At 36.8% G+C, this 23,586-nt stretch overlaps 1 protein-coding gene across 1 annotated transcript in view, besides 1 other annotated feature; it reads right to left on the bottom strand.

Annotated features, from left to right (window-relative positions):
* Nucleotides 1-23,586, bottom strand: part of KIAA1217 — an 853,117-nt gene that overhangs the window by 720,622 nt on the left and 108,909 nt on the right. The window lies entirely within an intron of this gene.
* Nucleotides 2,772-2,951: a silencer, noted in NCBI's record as "fragment chr10:24113200-24113379 (GRCh37/hg19 assembly coordinates)". NCBI's record gives its function as "represses an EF-1alpha promoter that drives an FKBP-Casp9 reporter gene in an ReSE screen in K562 erythroleukemia cells {active_cell/tissue: K562}" and the evidence as "EXISTENCE:reporter gene assay evidence [ECO:0000049][PMID:32094911]".

The following is a 23,586-nucleotide window of genomic DNA, read 5'->3' as shown; positions in this document are numbered from 1 at the left end:
CTTATTCCCAGAGCTTCTGAATTTGTTTGGGATGAAGCATGTGTGGCAGGATGTTTCAAAGCCCTACAGGTGATTCCGATGTGTAGTCAGGGTTGAGAATCACTATAGGTTCACACTGCACCTGTCCTATAAAGTTACTTAATTCTGCCTCACTTTCCTGAATTTGTGTGCTGATCTCCCTCTTCACCTCTCACCAGATTCTAAGTATCTAAAAGTCAGGGACTAAGTCATATTCACCTTTTATTTGTCCATAGTGCCCATGACAAGAGTCTACATAAAAGGGCAGTAAAATTTTATGGAATGAATGAGTGAAGATATCACTATAGGGGACTTGACTCTCAACAACCATGAGTGAGTTGGACCAGAGAAACAGTTCACGAAGCTCTGACCCACAGCATGAAACAGAACATTGCATGTGGGGAGTTTACAGAATAGTAACCGAGAATATGATAGCCCTTGGAGCATTTGAGGAGTCGAAGAAGAGCTTTAAAGTTACAACAGACTGAACACAGAAGAACAGCAACTACACACCACAGGACGCTCCTTATGTTCCCAGCATGGAAGGGACACCCTGGCCGTCCGCTACTTGAACTCCATCCACAGCTTGAATCAGGAGGTCAGCACCATGGACAAGAGCATCTCTGAGGAGGAGTCATAAACCAAGCACCAAAGGAAATGCAGGGAGTTTTGACGGTGCTTTCAAATCACCAGTCAAGGCTGTTTTCTTTTATCGAACTCCTAGCTGGGCTCAAGCGATTCTATCCTCTCAGCCTCCCGAGTAGCTATGACTGCAGGCACATGCTACCATGCCCAGCTTACTTTTGAGAAGAATAATTATCAAGTTCTTAGTGGTAAAACCTTTGAACTACAATAAAGTATCATTTGCTATTGACATGTCAAATCTAATGTAAATAATAAGATGCTACTGTTTTCTAAACCTGTTATAAAATTTCAAATTTCTAATCTTTTTAAAAAGCATTTTTATTATTGCTTTAGAAAATAATCATATTAACTACTTACACTTTTTTTTAGTAGACCTGGAGGGTGTAACTGAAAAAAAAATTCAAACATAACTAGTGCAATATAAAAGAATGTTAAATCTAGATAGACTCAACTCACTCTTACATCACAAAGTTAGGGTTCAGGTTAAAGTTGGATGCAGAGGCTGAGGTTAACATACTAGCATACTGGCCACCCCAGGAGGCAAGGAGATGGTAACTAACAATTTTTTATCTCTGTGTACCAGAAACTGGGCTGGTTATTTCTCAGCAATCTCATTTAATCTGCATCACATTCCTCCCCACCACCCCAGGTTGATACTGCTAACCCCATTTTGCCCATAAAAACACCGAGTGTCAGAAAGAATGAGTGACTTGTGCGAGGTCTTCCAGTTCCTAAGGAACAAAGTCAGCATTGGATCTCAGTCTGCATGACTCAAAAATCCACGTTTTACCACTATTTTTTTACTGTTATTTTCATCTGTGGCGAATTGAATATTTCTCTTATCCACTATTTCCTAAGTGCTTAGCAATCCAGAATAACGCATATATTATTCAGAACTAAACTGTAGTTCATGGAAATCAATTTTACTTAAACCAAAATGGAAACTGTCTCATCATCAAATAACCAGTTCTGCTTAGTGTAATTACTGGAAGGCAAGAGCACTGTATGTGGTTTAATAACCAAAATCAATCTGAAATACAGTCTCATTAAAGCCAGTTAGCTTTTCTATTGGTCAGATGCTCTTTTATTTATCACTATTATTTACATATATGTTCATCAATATAGATTAATTAGCATGCAAACAAGAATGTAACTTCTAAGAGTTTAAACCATTTAAAGAGGATGCAAAGATAAGGAAAAGCTGACATTTTAATGTAAAAAAACTAAAATACAAGAAAGTATGTTCTGAGTTAACATCTAAGAGATAATGAGCGTTCATTTTTCTCCCACCAAAAAGCATAGGATTACACTTTAAACTATGTGTTATGCAATGATATATTACAAGTGGAGAAAGAAAATTAACTTAAAAGAAAAGATGCAGACGTTTTCTAATACCACTAATAGGGTTTGCAGACTGTGAATGTCAGAGACAAATAGAAACAAAAGGTGCGTGCAGGAATTGGAAACTTGATTCAAGGACCTCAGTCAGTCACTGATAAATTTCATGCATTTTGCTGAATTGAGACCAAACCATGTGGAGCAGATGTTCCCGATAACATCTTAAACACTGCAAAAAATGGTAAGCAGATAATGTACCTTTCAAATGGAGCCATATTAAGGAAGGATTACTATGTAATACCTTGTCCAAATCAGGACATTTATGAGAGTGAAAAGGATGCCACTAGTAAATATGCCAGGATAATTAGCGTAATCTGGAGCTGTCTTAGGAAAATTAGAGAATATGTTACCCCAATAGATGATAAATGCCCTACACACCACAGGACCTTCAGTTAACCTTCACTTTAAAGCCCTCTACACTTTCTTCTTCTTCACATGCCTTCTTTTACCTGTTTTCTCCTTTACATATCATATATACATATATATATATATATATATATATTTTTTTTATTTTTTTTTTTTTTTTTTTCTTGAGACAGAGTTTCACTCTTGTTGCCCAGGCTGGAGTGCAATGGCGCCATCTCAGCTCACTGCAACCTCTGCCTCCCGGGTTCAAGCAATTCTCCTGCCTCAGCCTCCTGAGTAGCTGGGATTAGAGGCCCATGTCACCATGCTGAGCTAATTTTTGTATTTTTAGTAGAGACGGGGTTTCACCATGTTGGTCAGGCTGGTCTCAAACTCCTGACCTCATCGTCTGCCCACCTCGACCTCCCAAAGCGCTGGGATTACAGGCGTGAGCCACCGCGCCCGGCCTACATATCTTTATGTATCTTTCTTAGCCTTTATACAATGTCCCTCCTCTTTTTATTTATTTATATATTTTTTGAGACAGGGTCTTAACTCCTGTCACTCAGTCTGCAGTACAGTGGCATGATCTCAGCTCAGTACAACCTCTACCACCCCCAGATCAAGTGATCCTCCCACTTCAGCCTCCCAAGTAGCTGGGACCATAGGTGTGCACCAACACGCTGGGCTAATTTTTTGTATTTTTTGTAGAGATGGGGTTTCACTGTATTTCCCAGGCTGGTGTTGAACTCCTGGGCTCAAGTTGTCCACCTGCCTTGGCCTTCCAAAGTGCTGGGATTACAGGTGTGAGCCACCATGCCCGGTGTGTCCCTCCTCTTTCATCAACCCTCTGCCTTTCTTTTCAGTTCCTTCCCTTCCTTTCCCCCCCTCTCTTCTTCCTCCCTCTTTGTCTTTCTGTGGCTCTTTTCTTCTCCATCTATGCAACTTTCTACTTCCCTTCCACCCCTTTTTAAAACAAAAATCTTCCTTCTAGATTTCATATTCCCTCCATTCTATCAGGCCCATCCCAACTTGCCATTACCCCGAACTAAAACAAAGTTTTGATATTTTAGTCACTCTTATTGAATACTTTTATATTCTTTGTTTTCTAACTTAAAAGTAGGGGGGTTTAATGTTTTATATTCATTTTTCTACGAAAAGGCATCTTGGTAGGCCAAACCCCCTGCCAAACATATCCACGCCCTAATCCCTGGAACCTATGAATATGTTTTATTACATGGCAAGAGGGACTTTGCAGATGTCATTAAAGTTACAGATTTTGAGGGAGTTATCCTGGATTACCTAGGTGAGCCCATTCCACTTACATGAGCCCTTAAAGGTGGAGACCTTTCTCTGCCATCTCTTCTAGGGGCAGAAGAGATGCAGCAAAAGAGGAAGTCAGAGATTCTAAGCGTAAGAAGGACTCAAACTTTTGCTGGCTCTGAGATGGAGGAAATCACATGATGGAGCAGCCCATGGGCAAGGATCAGAGGGAGCCTCTGGGAGCCAAGGGTGGTCCCCAGCTGTCCTGAGAGCAGGCAAGGAAGCAGGACCTCAGTCCTACAACCGTAACGAACCGAATTCTCCCAACAACCTGAATGTGCTTAGAAGTGGATCTCCCCCAAAGCCTCCAGAATGGAACACAGCCCTGCCAACACCTTGGCTTGGGCCTTGTGAGACTCTAAGCAGAGGATCCAGGTGAAGCATGACTCTAAGCAGAGGACCCAGGTGAAGCATGCTTAAGACATTTATTTATTATCTCACAGGCAATTTGTTACTGTAGCAATAAAAAATGAATGCAAGCATAAATTCTATTAAATCCTGCTTAATTTGGGGACACATAGGTTAATAACTCCTAATAAAAAAGTGCTTCCCTCATCTTTAATTTAGGCTAAATTTAGACATATGGTATATGTGCTAATTGATTTTTCAATCATTGTTATGTTTTCAGATCAAAGGATAAACTTAGTAATCTAGAGGGGCTCATTCTCAAGATACATATCATTATTGTAAATACTTGATTCATTCTTATTCTTACAAAACTCTGTGGGAAAAACTCTGTGCTAAATACCTCTCCATCCTTGTGGGAGACTTAAGCAAAGCATTTTGTTTCTTTAAGCAATCAAGGGACATAATGTTCTCTACCACACCACCAGAATGGAAGTACAATTACCCCAATCTGACAAATGGAACGAGAGGTTTGTAGGTCTGTGATGCAGAAACAACCTGTTGATTCTGCCTATTGACTTATCAGTCAAATTGACCTTAAGAAAAGTCTTGCTCCTTCTAACACAAAACAACATCAGCAACAATAATAAAGACAAATATCAATTTTGCAAATTTTCCACAAGTCAAAAAATTCCTGTTTGTCTGCTCCCTATTGGCACAAATTCCCACTCTGATATGTGTGTGTTCAAGATAATTTATTAAAATAAAGTTTATGTCTTGTTTCTGCTACTGCAATCAGATCCAAACATATATAAGGCAAAATTATCAGTCCTTTTTCTAGGTAGCACAGCCCCTTGAGTTCTGAGTTTAGGGCTTCCAGAACTTTTAGGTTCATGAGTTGAAAACAGAAACTGCCAGAAACCTGAAAAAAGCCCTATGCAGGCTTTGGAGTCTGTTACAAACTAAAGAGATGAGTTAGGGTGAGTCTTTCCTGACAGGAAAGGGATGGAGACTATAGTTTTGAGTTTAGGAAATGAAAATGAGTGGGAACTGAGTAAGGAGATGAGTGGTGAATGTGTGGAGCTGTGGTGCCTGCACCCGCTCTTACTTATTGTCTAGGAGATCTGATGGGATGGTCTGAGTAGCTGTAGCCTGAACACAAGCAGCAGGGGCTTCAGGAGACACGGAAGATGATGGCCACATTCCATGCAGTGGGAGAAGTACCTCCTTTGGTGGCTTAGGCCCCAAGGGTTTGGACAACACGCATCTCAGCAGTGATCCTGATGGCCGAAAGAGCTGGAGGCCCCTTCCTAATTTTTTGAACTGCAGAACACCATGAGACTCTTAAGCCACCCTCAGGTAAACAGGCCTCCCACTATGACTGATGTTGGGTGTCAGAGGTAAAACCTAACTAACAGGCAAAAACAGATTTTTATTACATATAGAAATGTAAAGCAATGCAATGTTTTTGTATTTGTTGTGGAGCAAATTCATGCCAACTATATGTGTATGTGTGAATCGGTAGATGGAGGAGCATGAGGAAAGGAATCCAAGAAACTGGCTATTAAAAGAAGGGCCAAGTGGGAAAGGCCCTGCTTCCTTCTGCTTCTCAAGGTTTTCCCCATCATTTGTGTTTGACCTTTGGAATATGGCCCAGGAAGAAGAGTTGCTTCCATGCCTCTCTTAGAAAACACAAACCAGTGCTCACTCTGATTTGTGGTTTGCATGCATTCTTTTGAGTTGGCCAGTCTAGTTTGCTGCAGCCTGTGCCACCTGAACATGGGGCTTTATTCTTGTGCTGTATTCCTGTGACCATGTCCAAATCAGTGCTTAGGAACCATCATGACCCTGTTGGGCAGGTTTGTGCTGCAAAAGAAGTTGACTGGAACTGACACTTAAAACACATGACTTTCCACTTCTAATAACTGATAATTTCAGTGATGATACATGCAGGTAAACACATTGCTTGCAATAAATACACTGCCTATTTACTTTCTCTTCACTTAGTATCACACACACACACACACACACACACACACACACGCACACACACAGCTGCAAGAAAATTAAGCCCATGAAGATACTTTATTAGTGGAAAGACACGGCTGACTTAATTTTCACAAGTCAGGCAATGCTAAGTTCCTTCTGCAACTTTATCTCACCCACACAACATAAGCACACAATGAAGCATGAAACCTAAATATGCAAATGGAATATCTCTTGTACAAAGGGGGCACATTCTTACAGCGATGATTTTGCCATTCTCTGCTCTTCATCTTTAAAATTACTTCCACCAGCATCATATTCTTATCCATCTCTCTTCTACATGAGTGCCATCCAACTCCAAACAAACACTGGGCATAAAGCAAGTATTTCATGCTAATAAGAAAGCCAAGGCAGCAAAGGAACAGCAGGAAAGCTCTGAGATCCCACTCTCTTTAGCCCCACCTTGTACCATCTGCCTTGTGCTGCTGATCATCCACAGCCTGATGTCTTTGCAAATAACATTCACGCCCTTTAAGGCAACCTCCTCACTTCTCTGACAACCCACATTTATCACCTCCCTAAAACTCTGGATCAAAACTCACTTCCTCCATAAAAATGTTTTCTGGTTTAATTGTTCCATTAATTGTTTTAATACGTGGGTATTCAGTGAACAATAGAATATTTTGCCCTCATGGATATATAGCTTTAAAAGTGAGATGAAGCACAGTTAATGTTAATTAGAGAGAGGTTGAATGACTGTTATCATAGCAAGTGGATTAGTCTCACATGGGTAATCATAGAGTAGAACTGTATTTCATGGCATTAAACAAAATTGTTGGAATTTTAAAAGAGTTCTGTAAACCACAGAGCTAGTAGGCCTCTGTCCGTTTAATATGTGAAGCTCTGTGAGATAAGGGATATGAAATAGAAGAGACAGTGTTGAACTAGGAGTCAGGAAACAGGATTTACTCAGAATTTTATGCTTCGATGTTTGCCTCATTTTCTACACAATTAAAATGTAGACTCTTTGACGATGAGCTTTGTGGTCCTCCCCCCAATACACACATACCCTACGTAATAAAAAGTTGAATAATTCTGTACATATACCAGATACTCTGTATTTGTGCACATATATTTACATGTATGACTAGGGCCCAGAATCAGTTTTAGTGGTTTTAAAAAGAAATAGGCACTATCATACATTTATAGATCTTTAGAGCTTAGAGAATTGTTTAGTCCAGAAGTTTTATTTTACACGGAGAGAAACTGAGATCAGGATGGCTTATTCAAGAGCATAGCGCTAAAAAAATGACTCAGGTGGCACTGAATTCAAGCTCCTGAACTACTGGTCTGGTATTTCTCCCAAGGCTCCATATAGCATATAAAGGGAAATCTGGTTCAAAAATTCAATGTTACGACACAAAAAGTTTCAAATCACCAAGACAAATTGCCATGTACAATGGCATCAGAAAAGTATTAGGTAAGACATATTTTTTGTGTCTATGGGCAAAACTTTTTGCTTGATGATTTTCCTACAGGAGCTAAGTGTTTGCATACTATTTTAAGATCTATATTATTTAGGTTTGCATTCAGCTGAATGTATCTGGTGATCTCCAAGTTAATGAGAATTACATTTATTTTTCTGTCACCTAAAGAAGTCCAGCAGCAGGGGGGCCAAAGCTGGTGTGGAGCTCACTGGTGTCAGCAGTCCACGTCATCTCTCACTGCTCCATATCTTTCCCTTATTACATTCAGGTTCAAGGTTGATCCTGAATTCCAGCTATCTCCCCTGAATTCAGAAGGAGAAGAGGTAGAGAAAGGGCACACTCCTCTCTTTCAAGAAGACCTCTTGGAGGACCCAAACAACAGTTCTGCTTACATTGTCTTAGCTAGAACCTAGTCATGTGGCCCTATCTGACTGCAAGGAACCTGGACAATGCAGTCTTTTATCATGGTGGCCATGTTCCCTGCTAAAATAGAGATTCTGCTCCCAAGAAAGAAGGAGAGAGTGAATATGAGGTGCCATCAGCACCCTTTTCCACAGAAAGCCTGCTCAACAATTCCTCAATTGCTTTCTTAATCAATTTAAAGATTGCTTTAATATCATGCAAATAATCCACACTTTAAAATGGAACACTATAATTTCTATGAATAAAGTAATATGAACCAGCATAATGACAATCATTTTAAACACATTATGTACATAAGGGAGATTTTATTAAGATGTGATCATTATGAGCTCACATCTTTGTTTTGTTGAGACTAAGAGCTGCAAAATAATCTCAGGGCTATCAGAAATTCCTCACAGGGCAAGGAAATAGTCACCAGGTCATGACATTTGTCAAGAGAGCTTACAGAGCTGTGATTTCTTCAAGAGTGTGGCTGACCCTTTCCCCCAACCCTTCCCACTTCCTTAAGCCCTGCCAAAGGACAAATTATTGCCAAGGCAACCAAGGCCCTTCATGCTCCCCTGCTGATTCTGGTCGCCTGTGCTGTGATCAAACAAGCACTAAGGAGCAAGAAGGTGCTCTGGGGCAGACGGAAGTGGGTTTTGGTTTCTGTCGCTGAATGCCTGGAGTCCTGGTTTCTGTATCCAAATCACAGAGGTGAAGATTGCTGACTCTTCCTTTATATTCCTTCCTCTTGCTGGGGCTACTACCAACAGGGAATCTGGAAAATATGAGTTACTCAAAATGTAGGGTTTAAATAAATGCAAAATATTTTTCACTTTGGGTCTAATTAGTCCCTTTTAGCCCTTCCCAGTTAGTTGTTCAGAATGGGAGCATGGCTATATATATATATATATATATTTTTTTATATATATATATAAAATATATATATAGTGTTATATATATATAATTTATATATAACATATAAATATATAACATATTATATATTACATATAAAATATATATTATGTATAATATATAAAGTTTTGCCTATAGATGCAAAAAAAATATGTCTTACCTAATACCTTTATTGATGTCATCGTACATGGCAATTTGTCTTCATGGTTTGAAACTTTATGTGTGTGTGAGTATATATATATATGTGTGTGTGTGTGTGTATGTATATCTATATGTGTGTGTGTATATATATATGTATATATATGTGTATATATATGTATATATATGTGTGTATATATATGTGTGTATATATATATATATATATATATATATATATATATATATATATATATGTGCCACCACACCAAGCTATAATTTTTTAATTTTTTGTAGAGACAGAGTCTAGCTATGTTGTCTAGACTGTTCTTGAACCCCTGGCCTCAAGCAATCCTCCTGCCTCAACCTGCCAAAATGTTGGGATTACAAGTATGAGCCACCACATCTGGCCCTATATTTCATATACAAAAACTGCATTACTGTCATCCAAAAACTCTTCTGTCAAACACCTCAAAATGAGACTAGTACTATTTCTGTAACACCGTAACCAAAGTCATTGAAATGTTTCTTCTCTCAAAAACCTGTTCCCTTCTTTCCATTACTCTGACCTCCAATTTCCTATCTGTTGATATTGAAGAGATCTTAGACACCCTTCTGTCTTCTTCATAGTTATAAAAACTGTGATCTTTTGGATTTCTGACAACTTCTTTTATCCTGGAGTTTATTCCTCAAGTTACCTAGCCTCTCTGGATCTCTCTTATCTCATTTGGAAAAGGTGAGAGTTTTGAAAAGAAAGCACCTGAAGTATATCCCAGCTCAAACGTTCCAGGATTTTATGATAGAATTGCCAAATAACAATGTCAAACAATGCAAGTGAAGACTTTAAACTTCTCTTGCAATGTTTCAATAAGAACTATAGCCATTTAAAAATAATTTGACAATTCTTCTGGATGGATTCTTCTGAAGAAGAAGTCATTTGTATATATCATCCTGTCTTATCCTACTGTCGCAACTGCCAATGAGAGGCAATTCACTATGCCATTTTGAGACGGTGAAATGAAGAGTGATATAGCCTCCCAGGTAAGTACCAATTAAAATTACTTCAAATCATTTAAAATGAATATTATATAATACTCTTAGAGTATGGCTTTTGGAAGAACTAGCACTTTGCCTTTTTTGCAAGGGGAAAGGAAACATCTTACTTTCCAACTATGCGGATTATCTGATGTCAAGTACTTCTGCAATACATATTCTGCACTGCTCATTGTTATTTCAAATTCTTGGCAGCAGGGATAGCAGTATATGCTGCAGCCTGAGAACAGCAGAGTCATCCTTTTTTCCACTTCCTTCTCTTTGCCTTGCTTGTTTCCCAGAATTTCTATGAGCCCTGCTCTGTTGCACAAAGAATAGTGCCCAAAGGCCGATTTCCACCATTCTCCTTCTGACTATGCCTCTCCAGTTAGTGATAAACAATGCAGAAATGTCAATCTCTAACCATTTGTCCAATTGCCCTTCCAATTATAATGATAAAATATAGTGTATTCTAGAGCTCCCTAAAGTGATTTAGATTTCTCACACCATCACTCTTCACTCTTCATTTCTTCCAAATAGAGTTGAACAAAGGAGAATTGTGTTTTAAATACAGTATTATCAAAAAGTGAACTCCTGACCTCAAGTGATCCACCTGCCTAGGCCTCCCAAAGTGCTAGGATTATAGCATGAGCCACCGCACCCGGCCAGGAGTTTGAGACAAGACTGGCCAATATGGTGAAACCTCATCTGTACTAAAAATACAAAAATTAGCCGGGTATGGTGGCAGGTGCCTGTAATCCCAGCTACTTGGGAGGCTGAGGCAGGAGAATTGCTTGAACCCAGGAGGTGGAGGTTGCAGTGAGCCGAGATAGCACCACTGCACTCCAGCCTGGGCAACAGAGGAGATTCCGCCTCAAACAAACAAACAAACAAACAACAACAACAACAAAAAGAAATGTGAGCATGGGAAACTACTTCCCCTAAGGATCAAAGTAATGTTTGCAAAAAAGAAAAAATTGTAACCTAGTACTGCTTTGTGTGTATTCAAAATGTCACTCAATGCCTTGCAGAGGGGACCTTTACAGCTCAAGGTAACGCAAATGCTGGTTACCAGGAAATAACATTCTTGAAGTTTTGCTTAAGGGGAGTAGCTTAACTTTAAATATGGCACCTCACAGGAAAGACAGGGAGTTCCTAAAAGACTTCATTAACTTTTATTAATTTCAATGTAACTTAACATCCAGGGAAGACAGTACCTTCCTGTAAGCAGTTCTCTGAAGGAAAGGGCTATGTGGTAAATTGCAGTAAGCTTGGAGAATTTAAACTTTGCCCTGCTTATGCAGCAAAAACATTTTCCAAACACCAAAAGAATCGACTCCACTAAAGACTTCGTAAACGAAATTTCTTATTTCAGATTTTTAAAATTTACCTTGGGACAATAACATTTAAAATGCACTCAAACTCATTATACATGAAATATGTGAATATAAGTTTGTATTTTCTTTGCATTGTGGGGATAAATAATGTAGTCATCTAAGAATATTTTAAATTATTAAATTTTTTTGTTTTTGCTTTTGTTTTTTGAGATGGAGTCTTGCTCTGTCGCCCAGGCTGGAGTGCAGTGGCCTGATCTCAGCTCACTGCAAGCTCTGCCTCCCAGGTTCACGTCATTCTCCTGCCTCAGCCTCCTGAGTAGCTGGGACTACAGGCGCCTGCCACCACGCCCAGCTAATTTTTTGTATTTTTAGTAGAGACGGGGTTTCACCGTGTTAGCCAGGATGGTCTGGATCTCCTGACTTTGTGATCCGCCCACCTCGGCCTCCCAAAGTGCTGGGATTACAGGCGTGAGCCACCGCGCCCAGCCTAAATTATTAAATTTTACCATCCACTGTCTTTCTGTAGAGTAACAAGACTTTTGTTTTAAATGATGTCATCTTAAGCAATTTTATGCTTTTTTTTCATCTGTAAAAGTGAGAGCTTGGGACCACAAAATCTGTAACAATCTGTCTAGCTGTAAGATGTTACAAAATGATTTTAAAAAAAAACCTTTGCCTCAATTTTAAGTTCTTCATTTTTTGTGCTGTTATCACAACAAGATAATAATAATAATAATGTTTTAGATTTATAAAACTTTTCTTGAGGCACTTGCAAATCCATGATCTCATCTACTCATTGGAAAGATGTAGTTAGAGAGAAAGAATCTTCATATTTTCACTTGCATGTCTTCCCTGACAAGTGCTAAGCCTGGGGAATTTATCAGAGCCATAAAATCCTGACCTGGAAAGGTCACTTAATTGATACCTTTTTGCAGCCTTCAACAAAACTGAGGATCAGAAAAACACTGGATCTTTCACACTTCATCCTCTGCTTCTTGATTAAATCAGACTCTTAAGTGATTTTTTTTTTTGGTTATCTACTAAATGATTTAAAATAACAGAAATAAAGAACAATGCATATCCCTGCAAGAACAGAAAAATGTCATGCTACACATAATGGTTTATTTCAAAGTAAAATCTTACTGAGGAAACCTAACTGGATAAGAGCATAGGACAATTTCAAACATGAGGAGGATTAATTTTAAAATGGTGGATTGTGAGTGGCTCATCCTACAGAAAACTGAAACGTTTCTTCCAAGCAAATTTTTAAAAAGTTTTCCCATAACTTGTTCATTTAATACTTATGTTGAGTGCTTGTTTGGGTCATCCCCAATGCTTGCTGTCCAGTTAGGGATACTGAGTGAACAGTCATGGGAAATAGCTAACATATATTGAGAAGCTAGCATGCTCTTAGCTGTGCTAAGTGCTTCATGTGCAATTAAGGCAGACCCAAGATCACTCAGCCAGGAAATAGGAACACCTGGATTCCAACACTGATCTGCTCATCTGGAGTCTGTGCTGTTAAGTGTCCCACATTGTAGGAGTAAGCTGGAGTCCCTGCCCTCGAGGAGATTACCCAGATATAGGAGCAGAATGATCCACTCATTCCTCCCATAACTCTAATGCTTGCCTTTAAATTGTTCCTTTTTGTCAACTATTCCTCTTGGCATCCCCCTCCCTGCCCTGCAAAATAAAACACCAGCTCAGAAGCCATCTCTCTCAGAGATAATTTTTTGGGGGCTCCTTTTAAAAAGTGACTGCTAATGACCTGGTAATTGTTTTATGTCTCTTTAAGTGAATTTTGAAGTCACCAAAAAGTCATGGATATACTACTGTGAAAGCTTTGTCAGAACTTATGACTTCCTGAGCGAACTGCATCATCCTGAATTGACAGCTACGGGCTCAGCATTAAGTAAATGCAGGGTCTGGGCATCAAGGAGAAATGTTCACACAGTTACTACTTGATTAAAAATAACACAGTGTTGATAAGGACATAATGAAACAGGCACTTACTAGAAGAGTGTGAACTGACGCACTTTCTGGAAAACAATTTGCATGCAGTCTAGAAAGATGTTTATGGTCTTGGACCCAGTTACTCTACTTCTTAACTAGAACCCATTCTAGGGATAGACTTAGGTATTTGGATCAACATGTATTTACACATGTGTTTTAGCCCTTAATAATAATACCACAATATTGAAAATACTTTACAAGTGTGCAAGAATATAAAAACAATTAAATACATTATGGTACATAAATTACATAGTAGGATTTATAGCCATTTTATAAATATTTTCCAAATATTTTGAATAATATGGGAAAAATTTTACTATAAAATTTTAAGTGAGAAAAACAGGATCAAACCATTACATACATAAAGATCTTATTTAAAGATAGATAATTACAGAGAGAAAGAAAAGAATAGGACAGGACAAGGTTTATGTGCATAAAAAGGACTATAGTGACACAAAACAAAAAAATAGCAAAAAAAGGAATTATTTATTTTGCAAATCAGGTACCTTATAAGAGAATTTTATATATAATACATAAAGAATTATTACAATGATATAAAGACAAATAACCTAGTTTTAAGGGCAAAGAAGCTGATAGTTGTCCAAAGAAGACACACAAATGGCCAATAGGCTCAAGATGTTCAACATGATGAGCCATCAGAGAAAAACAAACCCAAACCACAAGGAGATAGCACTTAACACACACTAGGATGCTATCATCAAAAAGTCAGATAATAACAAGTACTACAGAGAATGTAGAGACTTTGAAACCTTCTATGCTGCTGGTGAACATGTAACATGGTGTAGCCTCTTTGGAAAACAGTCAGGCAGTCCTCAATGGTTAAACATAGTTACCATAGACCCAGCAATTCCTTTCCTATGTTTACACCCAAGAGAGAAAAACATAGGTCCACACAAAAAGTTGCACATGAATGTTCATAACAGCATTACTCATAATAGCCAAGAAATGGAAACAACCCAAGAAGAAACCTTGAAAATGTTATGCTAAGTAAAATAAGCCAATCACACACACACAAAAAACCACATACTGCGTGATTCCATCTATAAAATTATCTAGAATAGACAAATCTACTGTGAAAGAAAATAAGTGAATGGTAAACTAGTGCTGGAGTAGAAAATTGATGGGAGGCAGTGTTGGGTGTCACAGCCAGTGGGCACAGGGTTTCTCTTTGGGGTGATGAAAATGTTCTAAGATTGATGGTGGTGATGGTTGCACAACTCTGGGAATACACCAAAAACTACTGAATTGTGCACTTTAAATGAGTAACTTGTATGTAATGTGAATTTTATACTATTTCAATAGAGCTAGCTTTTTTAAATAAAAAAAAAGAAACAATAATAATTAGTTTCATTATTTCATCTATTAACCCTATTCCAAGCTCCTACTATGGCCTGTGCCAAATACAATCAAAGATACCAAATAAAGTAAATCCTTTGTTTTTAAGGCATTCACATGAATTAACTCTAACTCATGCTAGAAGTAATAATGTGACTGTGTATATACAACTAATTATAGATTATACATATATTCTGTCATAACACTAGCAAAAGCATGGAATGTGTATTATCATTTCTTACTTCATTATCTTTTTTAAGCAATCATATGTAACTTCATCACTTAATATAAGTGTCTACTAAATCAGATCTGTATTTCCAATTGTCTTATGGAAACATCCAGCTGGGTTTCCCATAATATCTCAAACTTAAGTGGGTTTTTTGTTTGTTTTCGTTTTGAGACAGGGTCTTACTTTGTCACCCAGGCTGGAGTGCAGTGACACAAACACAGCTCACTGCAGCCTCAACTTCCTGGGCTCAAGCGATCCCCTCACCTCAGCCCCCCAAACAGCTGGGACTGTAGGCATGCACTACCCCGTCAAGCTTAAGTGTTAAATAATATTTTCATCCTCCATTCCTCCCCGTTATTGCTATACCAAATGCACACCTCTTCTATTTCCACATCTCAGAAAGCATATGGCACAGCATCCTCTTAGAAAGCAGGTTTAGAAACCTGAGAATCCCCTGAGTCTGCTCACTTCCCCCTGTCCAGATCCAGGCCATCAGCAGGGTCTTATAATTCCACCTCTTGAGTGTCTCTAGCATTCATGTTCCAGTCTCCCACTGCCATCGCCCTGGTTCTTGCCTTCACCATCTCTTGCTTGGAAGAGTGCAGTCATTTCCCAAGTTGTACATCTAATTCCAGCTTCCCCTTCCCCTTTCTCATCCTCACATTGCAGTAAGGATTAGCTTTCCTCCCTTTTTTAAAATTGCATTTTTAAAAAAGTCTAAAATACACTTGACTAAAGAAAATCCTATAACTAAGAATGAACATATCTTAATATAATGTAACTTTTACTGTAATTTTAGTTTCTATTTAGAAATGGAGCATTTTGGCCAAAACTGAGTTCCCCTTTTTTCCCTCTCCAGTCCCACTCCCTTCTTTCTTGCCCCCCAAAATTTGGATGCATAATTCTAGTCCATATACTATATACATACTCCCTCTATATATAATATATACACATACTATATATGCTATGTATAATCTATATATAGATACTATATTATATATACTATATATAATATATATACACGCTATACTATATATAGATTATACTATATACATAGTATATGTATAGTATAGTATATATGTATAGTATACATGTATACTATATACATAGTATAATCTATATATAGTATGTATAGTGTGTATATAATATATAGTATATATAATATAGTGTACTATGTATTATATATAGAGATTAACAATATATATTATATATTGTATACATATCATATAGTATATATACTCTATATAGTATAATAATATAGTATATATACTATAGTATATAATATATACTATATATATTATATAATATATACTATAGTATATATACTATATTATTATACTATATAGAGTATATATACTATATGATATGTATACTATACTGTATAGTATATATACTATATAATATATATACCATATAATATATAGTATATATAATAATTAGTATTTGGTAATTATAATTTAGTAATTAGTGTAATTAGTATATATAGTTATATAATACTATATTATATAGTATATATAATATAGTATACTGTATATGGTATATTTATAGATTAATATAGTATACTATATATAGCATACTATATATAGATTAATTATATATATACACACTATATATTTATTATATATAAGACACTATATATTTATATAATTTATATATACACACTATATATATTATATATAGATTATACTATATATACTATATATAGATTATACTATATATACTATATATAGATTATCTATAGTATATATAGATTATACATAGTATAATATAGTATATATATAGATTATACATAGTATACATAGGATAATCTATATATAGTACATATAGCGTGTGTGTATATATATTATAGAGAGAGTATATATATATAGTATATGGACTAGAATATATACTATATATAATCTATATATAGTATATATAGTGTGTGTATATATAGATATCTACACATATATACTATATAGCTTTTCATATATATATATACAGATAGACAGGTAGGTAGTCAGAAAGAGGGTAGGTAGGTAGGTAGATAGACAGACAGATAGATGAATGGATGGATAAATGCTCGACTTACAATGGAGTTACATTGATAAACCTATCACAAGTTGAAAATGTCTTAAGTCAACAATGCATTTTACACACCTAACCTATGGAACATCATAGCTTAGCCTAGCCTAACTTAAAAGTGCTCAGAACACTTACATTGGCCTACGGTTGGGAAAATCATCTAACATAAAGCTGATTTTATAATAAAGTGTTGAATATCTCATGTAATTTATTCAATACTATACTGAAAGTGAAAAACAGAATGGTTGTATGGGTACTTGAAGTATGGTTTCTACTGAATGTTTATTGCTTTTGCACCACTGTAAAGTTAAAAAGTCATAAGTCAAAGAACTGTTAAGTCAGAGACCATCTGCATATGCAGATACATGTGTTGCTATCCAGCATATTGTAATTAGAGTTATTCCTTGGTATTAAATTTTTTTGATACTATTGTAAGTGATTTTTTCTTTAAAATTTATTTTTAATTGTTGCCATTACATATTACAGAAACATGGTTAGTTTTTGTATATTGAACTTCATTTTAGTGACACTGTTAAATTCTTACTAATTTATAGATTATTTGTGAAAGGTTTTTGTCTTTTACAAGGTATGTTTAAAGCATTTAGTTACAGTGATTACTTACCTGTTTATATTTATTACTGTCATTTTATTTTGTGTTTTGAATTTACCTTGCTTTTCCTTTTTTTCTTCTTACCTCACTTTATTGAATTAATCACTTTCCTTATTCCTTTTTATTTTCTATGCTATATTTTATTTCTCTCCCAAATTATACATTCCACTTCTTTTCTCATAATACCCTTAAAGTTTCACATGGAATCTTAATTTTAGTAAGTCTAGATTTAATTAATATCTTTAATGTTTTTCCAAGTAACCCAAGGACTCAATTCTCTCCCCCTCCCAACCTATGTCCCTTGTTATCACTGTTTTGCGTCTTTTTTCTTAAATATCCATTGTTAAATGTTTCCAATATTACTTTTACTTGCATTTGCTTTTATGATGTTATTTATTCATCATTCTTTACTGTATTTAATTTCCTTCTTTCTCAAGGACACGTTTGAACTGTGAATTCAGAGTTGTAAATACTCATATTCTTTTTAAGTCAAAGTTTGTCATTGCTTATTCTTTTATTTTATCCTAGGTATAGTATTCTACAATGACAATTATTTTCCTCTGTACCTTGAAGATATTTTACTGTCTTACATCATGTCCTGTTGCAGATGCCAAGTGTATTATCTAACATCCCTTCCTTGTTACGGATTTGCCTTCCTCTCTGGAAGCTGATAAAATTTTCTTTATGCTGTTAATATTATACATTTTCACAGTTGTAGGTCTTGGGTGAGTTTATATTTTTATTTTATTATCTACTTATCATATTCAGGAACCAGTATGGAACCACTTGAGTTCTGTAATATTCTCACCATTTTCACTTTGAAAATTGCTTCTTTCTCATCTTTTATTTTCTCTTCTGACAGTTTTATTAGACATATGTTGAGGTGTTTTTAATGTAGCCTCCATTTTTTCTTCTCTTAAATTTTTCATCTCTACCTTTCTGTTATTGAATTCTCCATCATTTTCTCAGATTAATATTCCAGTTCACCCTTTTTTTCTGTTTGATCTATTGCTCAACCCATTTGCTTTTTTCTTTAAATGACTGCAGTTCTAATTTTAGAAAGCCTCTTGTTATTTTCAAATGCTCTTTTACAGTTTTATAAGAGCACTTGAAAAATACGCTTATAAAAACATGTTATACAACAATCCTATGGTTTTTCTTCTTTCTCTGGTTCTTGAACATCCTAAATAACCTGAATTGATGTTTCTGATTATTCTATTATTTCTAATTTTTGGAACCTACATTCTACCATTTGTTGGGCCTAATTCCCTCTGTGTTACTTCATTACTCACAGGCCTTGTACTTGTTTTAGTGTGACTTCACCTTCAGTGGGGATTATTTTCTATTCAAGTTCTCTTAGGAAGAGTACCAATGTGATGACTGTAGATGTCTCTGCCAGAGGCCTACTCATTTCTCCCATTCCAAGACATTTTTCATGTTAATTTCTCAGTACTGGGTTCCCCACCACATAGATAGTATAAATCCAGACCTTACATCTGCAGTGGCAATAGCCTGGAGTTCTAACTTCGCTTTGGTGATCTTTTTCCGATGGCACCAGAGATATGGCAAGTTTGTCATCAATCCTCTGAGCCAGTGTGCAGTTGCTGTTTCCTTTTTAATTGACAAGGCAGCCCTTTCTAACTCCTGGCTTGGTGCCTGTAGCTCAGATCTAAGAGTAAGGCCTGAACTGCTTTCCCATGGGCTTAAAACTCCAATTGCCAGCAGTTAGAGCCTACATCTTTTATTGCTTTCTCTCATGGTCCATTTAAATGCCAGTTCCTGCTCACTGCCCTGCCTCTGAGTTCCCTCCTCATTTCTGACAGCTGAGGCCTTCCATTCTTGATTTTGAATCTGAAGTAGGTATTTACATTTTTATACTTTTTTGATGTGGCTGTGTGCTGAAGTGAAAGGCTGGGAAGTTGTTTCACATCAGCTCACTCAGCCATATTCATCCTATCCTTCTAAACACAAACAGGATCACATTGCCTTCAATGGGTTCCCATTTGCTTGAAGAATAAAGTCGATCTCTCCATCTGACTGTTTTATAAACTTCACATCCAGGTAGGATTCTGGCTTCTAAACTTGACCTGTAGCCACACTCTTAATCCCCCCACTCCACACTACAGCCATAATGGCCCAGGCCTCATTCCTGAACATTCTGTGTAACATCACAACCCCACATCTTTGTTTCAAGAAACTTCATTTAGGGGTAGCTTCTAGGTCCTATTTCTATTTATAATGATTTCTGTGACCTTCATCTAAGATCTGTGAGTTTTCCATTTCAGAAAGTGCTAAATGATGGCAGCATAGTCAACTACATAATCCAGGTCACTAATCCACTAAACAAAAGCCATACAGGAGAGTAAAAATGTCCATTCGAAAGGCCAGAAAGGCCCTGTGCAGACAGGAGCAGCTAACACAGCTGAAATGAATCGCTGAGCTTCATACCAATGCCACAGTCCTGTGTAGACAGTATCCTGAAGTTCATTAAATCCTCAGAGCTTAGCTCCCTGCTCTAAGGCAACATTTGCTCTGCCCTCTTTAGCAGGAGCAGCCTGCTGAGGAGATAGCTGTTATAGTTTGTGTGCTTCGTTAGAGCAAGGAAATATAGTTCACTCTGCCCAAACAAGTCCTAGCTGCTAATGGGCCAAGATATTGTGAATGCAGAGTTAGGATTGCTGGGACAACAGAGAACTGAAAGAGGGGTGGGAAGCACCTTAGGAACCAAAGAAACTGCATTTGTAAGCTTCATTTTATACCACATAGCAAGTGAATCAATAACTCGAAAATGTACAGTGAAGGCAAAAAGGAGTTGATTGCAATCTTCAAAGAATCGGCAAAAAGAAAAAGTAGGAATGCAAATTAAACTCATTCAAAAGAGTCAAGACTGTTGGTTCAAACCTAAGAAGATTCAACTAGGCTAGCAAAAAATCATTATTCCTAGAAGAGATGACAGAGGAAAGTAATGGAATATGAAATGTGAATACAAAAAAAGAAACCACCCAGATGTTTGAGAATTTTTTTTCACAGCATAATTCATGAGAATGCAAAATGGTATCCTTAGCAAGACAGATGAATGTAAAAATGGAAGACCATCACCAAGGTAAAGGGACGTGTAGTCATTGGGGCACAATCTGAAGAAATGAAAAATGACTTCCTCAATCTCTAGTTTTATGCCATTATCTAAAAGCAAAGCCAATTTAATGTAAAAAAGTCATTCACATTTTATCATTTGTTTCTTATTTTTCAGTTTGGATTTGTTAATCCGTCACTTTTAATTTGGTCTTAAATATGCATCCTTTTAACCTATGAGAATATTATCAGGCAATAATGGAATAAACTCAGCAACGGCGGAACATTCTCCTCAACCAATCTTTCCCTTCTCACGTGCACACAGGTGCAAGTGTATGTGTACACACACACATCCCTCAATATCTAAGGAATCCCCAAGATGGGAGTACCATCTGATTAGATGATATCCTTTTTTTGAATAGACAAAAATTTTATCATTTGATGACATCAAATTCATACACCTTTTTCTCTTTTTCTTTCTTTTCTTTTTTTTTTTTTTTTTTTTTTTTTTTTGAGATGGAGTTTTGCTCTTGTTGCCCAGGCTCGAGTCACTGCAAACTCCGCCTCCCAGTATCAAGCGATTCTCCTCACTCAGCCCCCTGAGTAGCTGGGAATACAGGCATGCACCACCACGCCCAGCTAATTTTTTGTATTTGTTAGTAGAGATGGGGTTTCACTATGTTTGCCAGGCTGATCTCAAACTCCTGACCTCAGGGGACCCACCCGCCTCGGCCTCCCAAAGTGCTGGGATTACGGGCGTGAGCCACCGCACCTGGCCCTATTTTTCTTTTATAGTTAGTGCTTTCTATGTCCTGAGAAATTCTATTTTTAACTTTTAAGTTCAGTGGTACATGTTAAGGTTTGTTACATAGGCAAACTTGTGTCATGGGGGTTCATTTGTACAAATTATGTTATCACCCAGGTATTAAGCCTAGTATCCATTTGTTATTTTTCCTGATCCTCTCCCTCCTCCCACCCTCCACCCTCCAATAGGCCCTAGTCTGTTGTTCCCCTCTATGTGTCCATGTTTTCTCATCAGTTAGCTTCCACTTATAAGTGAGAACATATAGTATTTGGTCTTCCATTCCCATGTTAGTTTGCTAAGGATAATGGCCTCCAGCTCCATCCATGTCCCTGCAGAGGACATGATCGTATTCTTTTTTATGGCTACACAGTAGTCCATAATACATGTGGTGTATTTGTAAGAAATTTTCTTTATACAGTCTATCATTGATGGGCATTTAGGTCAATTCTGTGTCTTTGCTATTGTGAGGAGTGCTGCAATGAACATACGCATGTATGTGTCTTTATAATAGAACAATTTTTATATTCCTTTGGATATATACCCATTAATGAGATTGCTAGGTCGAATGGTATTTCTGTCTTTAGTATTTCACCTCTTTTTAAGTGATTTTTAAACACTGTCTTCCACAATACTTGAACTAATTTATACTCCCACCAACAATTTATAAGCATTCCTTTATTTTCACAGCCTCATCAGCATCTGTTATTCTTTTACTTTTTAATATTAGCCACTCTGACTTGTGTTAGATGGTATCTCATTATGGTTTTGATTTGCATTTCTCTAAGATCAGAGATCCTAACTAAAAATATTTGCCTTATACTGTCCTCTCCCAGGGACCAGTATTGAGTGCATATTAAGGTGTCATTAAATACATGATGATTGGGCCAGTTGACTAGCAGACTAATAGGAGCAATATAGTCTGATCTATTGTCTCGGACTATACACTTTCATTCACGCTGGCTATTTCATTGACATATGCCATAAATATGATATTTCTATCATATGCTGTATAAAGCATATATACTTCAGACACTGGCAACGGTGTGTATCTAGACCTGTATATCTCCAGCACAGCACTGAAAAAGTAATTCAGACAAAAGTCTAGACTGCAGAAGCACCAAGGACAAGACCTATGTTCATACTGGCCATGTATGCATTCTCTGTCTTAAAAAATGAAAGAGTTTACCCAAGTGAAAGTCCAACATTTATTCACATGTCCCAGAATCTCTGGTTGTTAGGTGTTATCTTAATGCAAAACACCTGAGTGAGTGGCTCCTAGACCGTACTCATACAGAGAAATTCAAAACATTCTAAAGCTGTCACCCAGCTTCCTATCACACTCACCTCTACACAAAGCAAGCTAAGTGACAAAGGGCTCAGAAAGACAGATGTACTCACGGCTTGGCAGCTTTTCATAGCACATCAGCAGCATATAATTATAACCTTCCCTGAGGTATCCTGGCAGTTGATTTAAGTCATATTTGAATAGTTTCACTCTACCTGTCCTCCTAATAAAGGTGAAGAACCAGCAATGAAGAAAAAAAAAGTGCTGGTTGAAAACATGATCTAGATGGAGGCCTAAGAGAACAATAACAACAACAATCCATGTCTATGGCTATGGCTATGTTTTGCCCATACGCCTATATTTTGTCTGTATTTACATTTATATGATGATGTATATAAAATATTATTTTAGGTCTATATTTTTCCATATTTATATCATATATCTATGAAGCTATATAAAATTATTGATTTTTTATAAACACGTAGATATCTATATGAGTCTGCATCAATGTCTTTGTCATTGTGTGTGTGTGTATGTGTGTGTGCATACAAACACAAACCCACCAGGTAAAATCAAAGCATTCTCATGGTCATTTCATCAAAATGCAATTTGAGATGTGTTTCTTCCACACAGCAATGAGATGCAACAAAAAAGACCTAGGCACTAATAGTTTACTTAATAGATATCCTACATACAATGAGAAAGTAATCTTTCACTGATTTAAAATTGAGAAAAGTACATCATAAACAAAGACAGATGTCATAGTTCAGGTCCCCCCAAGAAA

This window comes from Homo sapiens, chromosome 10 (genome assembly GCF_000001405.40).
Source record: "Homo sapiens chromosome 10, GRCh38.p14 Primary Assembly".
Taxonomy (NCBI): domain Eukaryota; kingdom Metazoa; phylum Chordata; class Mammalia; order Primates; family Hominidae; genus Homo; species Homo sapiens.
The sequence above is the reverse complement of the archived record's forward strand: the minus strand, read 5'-3'. Positions and strand labels throughout refer to the sequence as shown.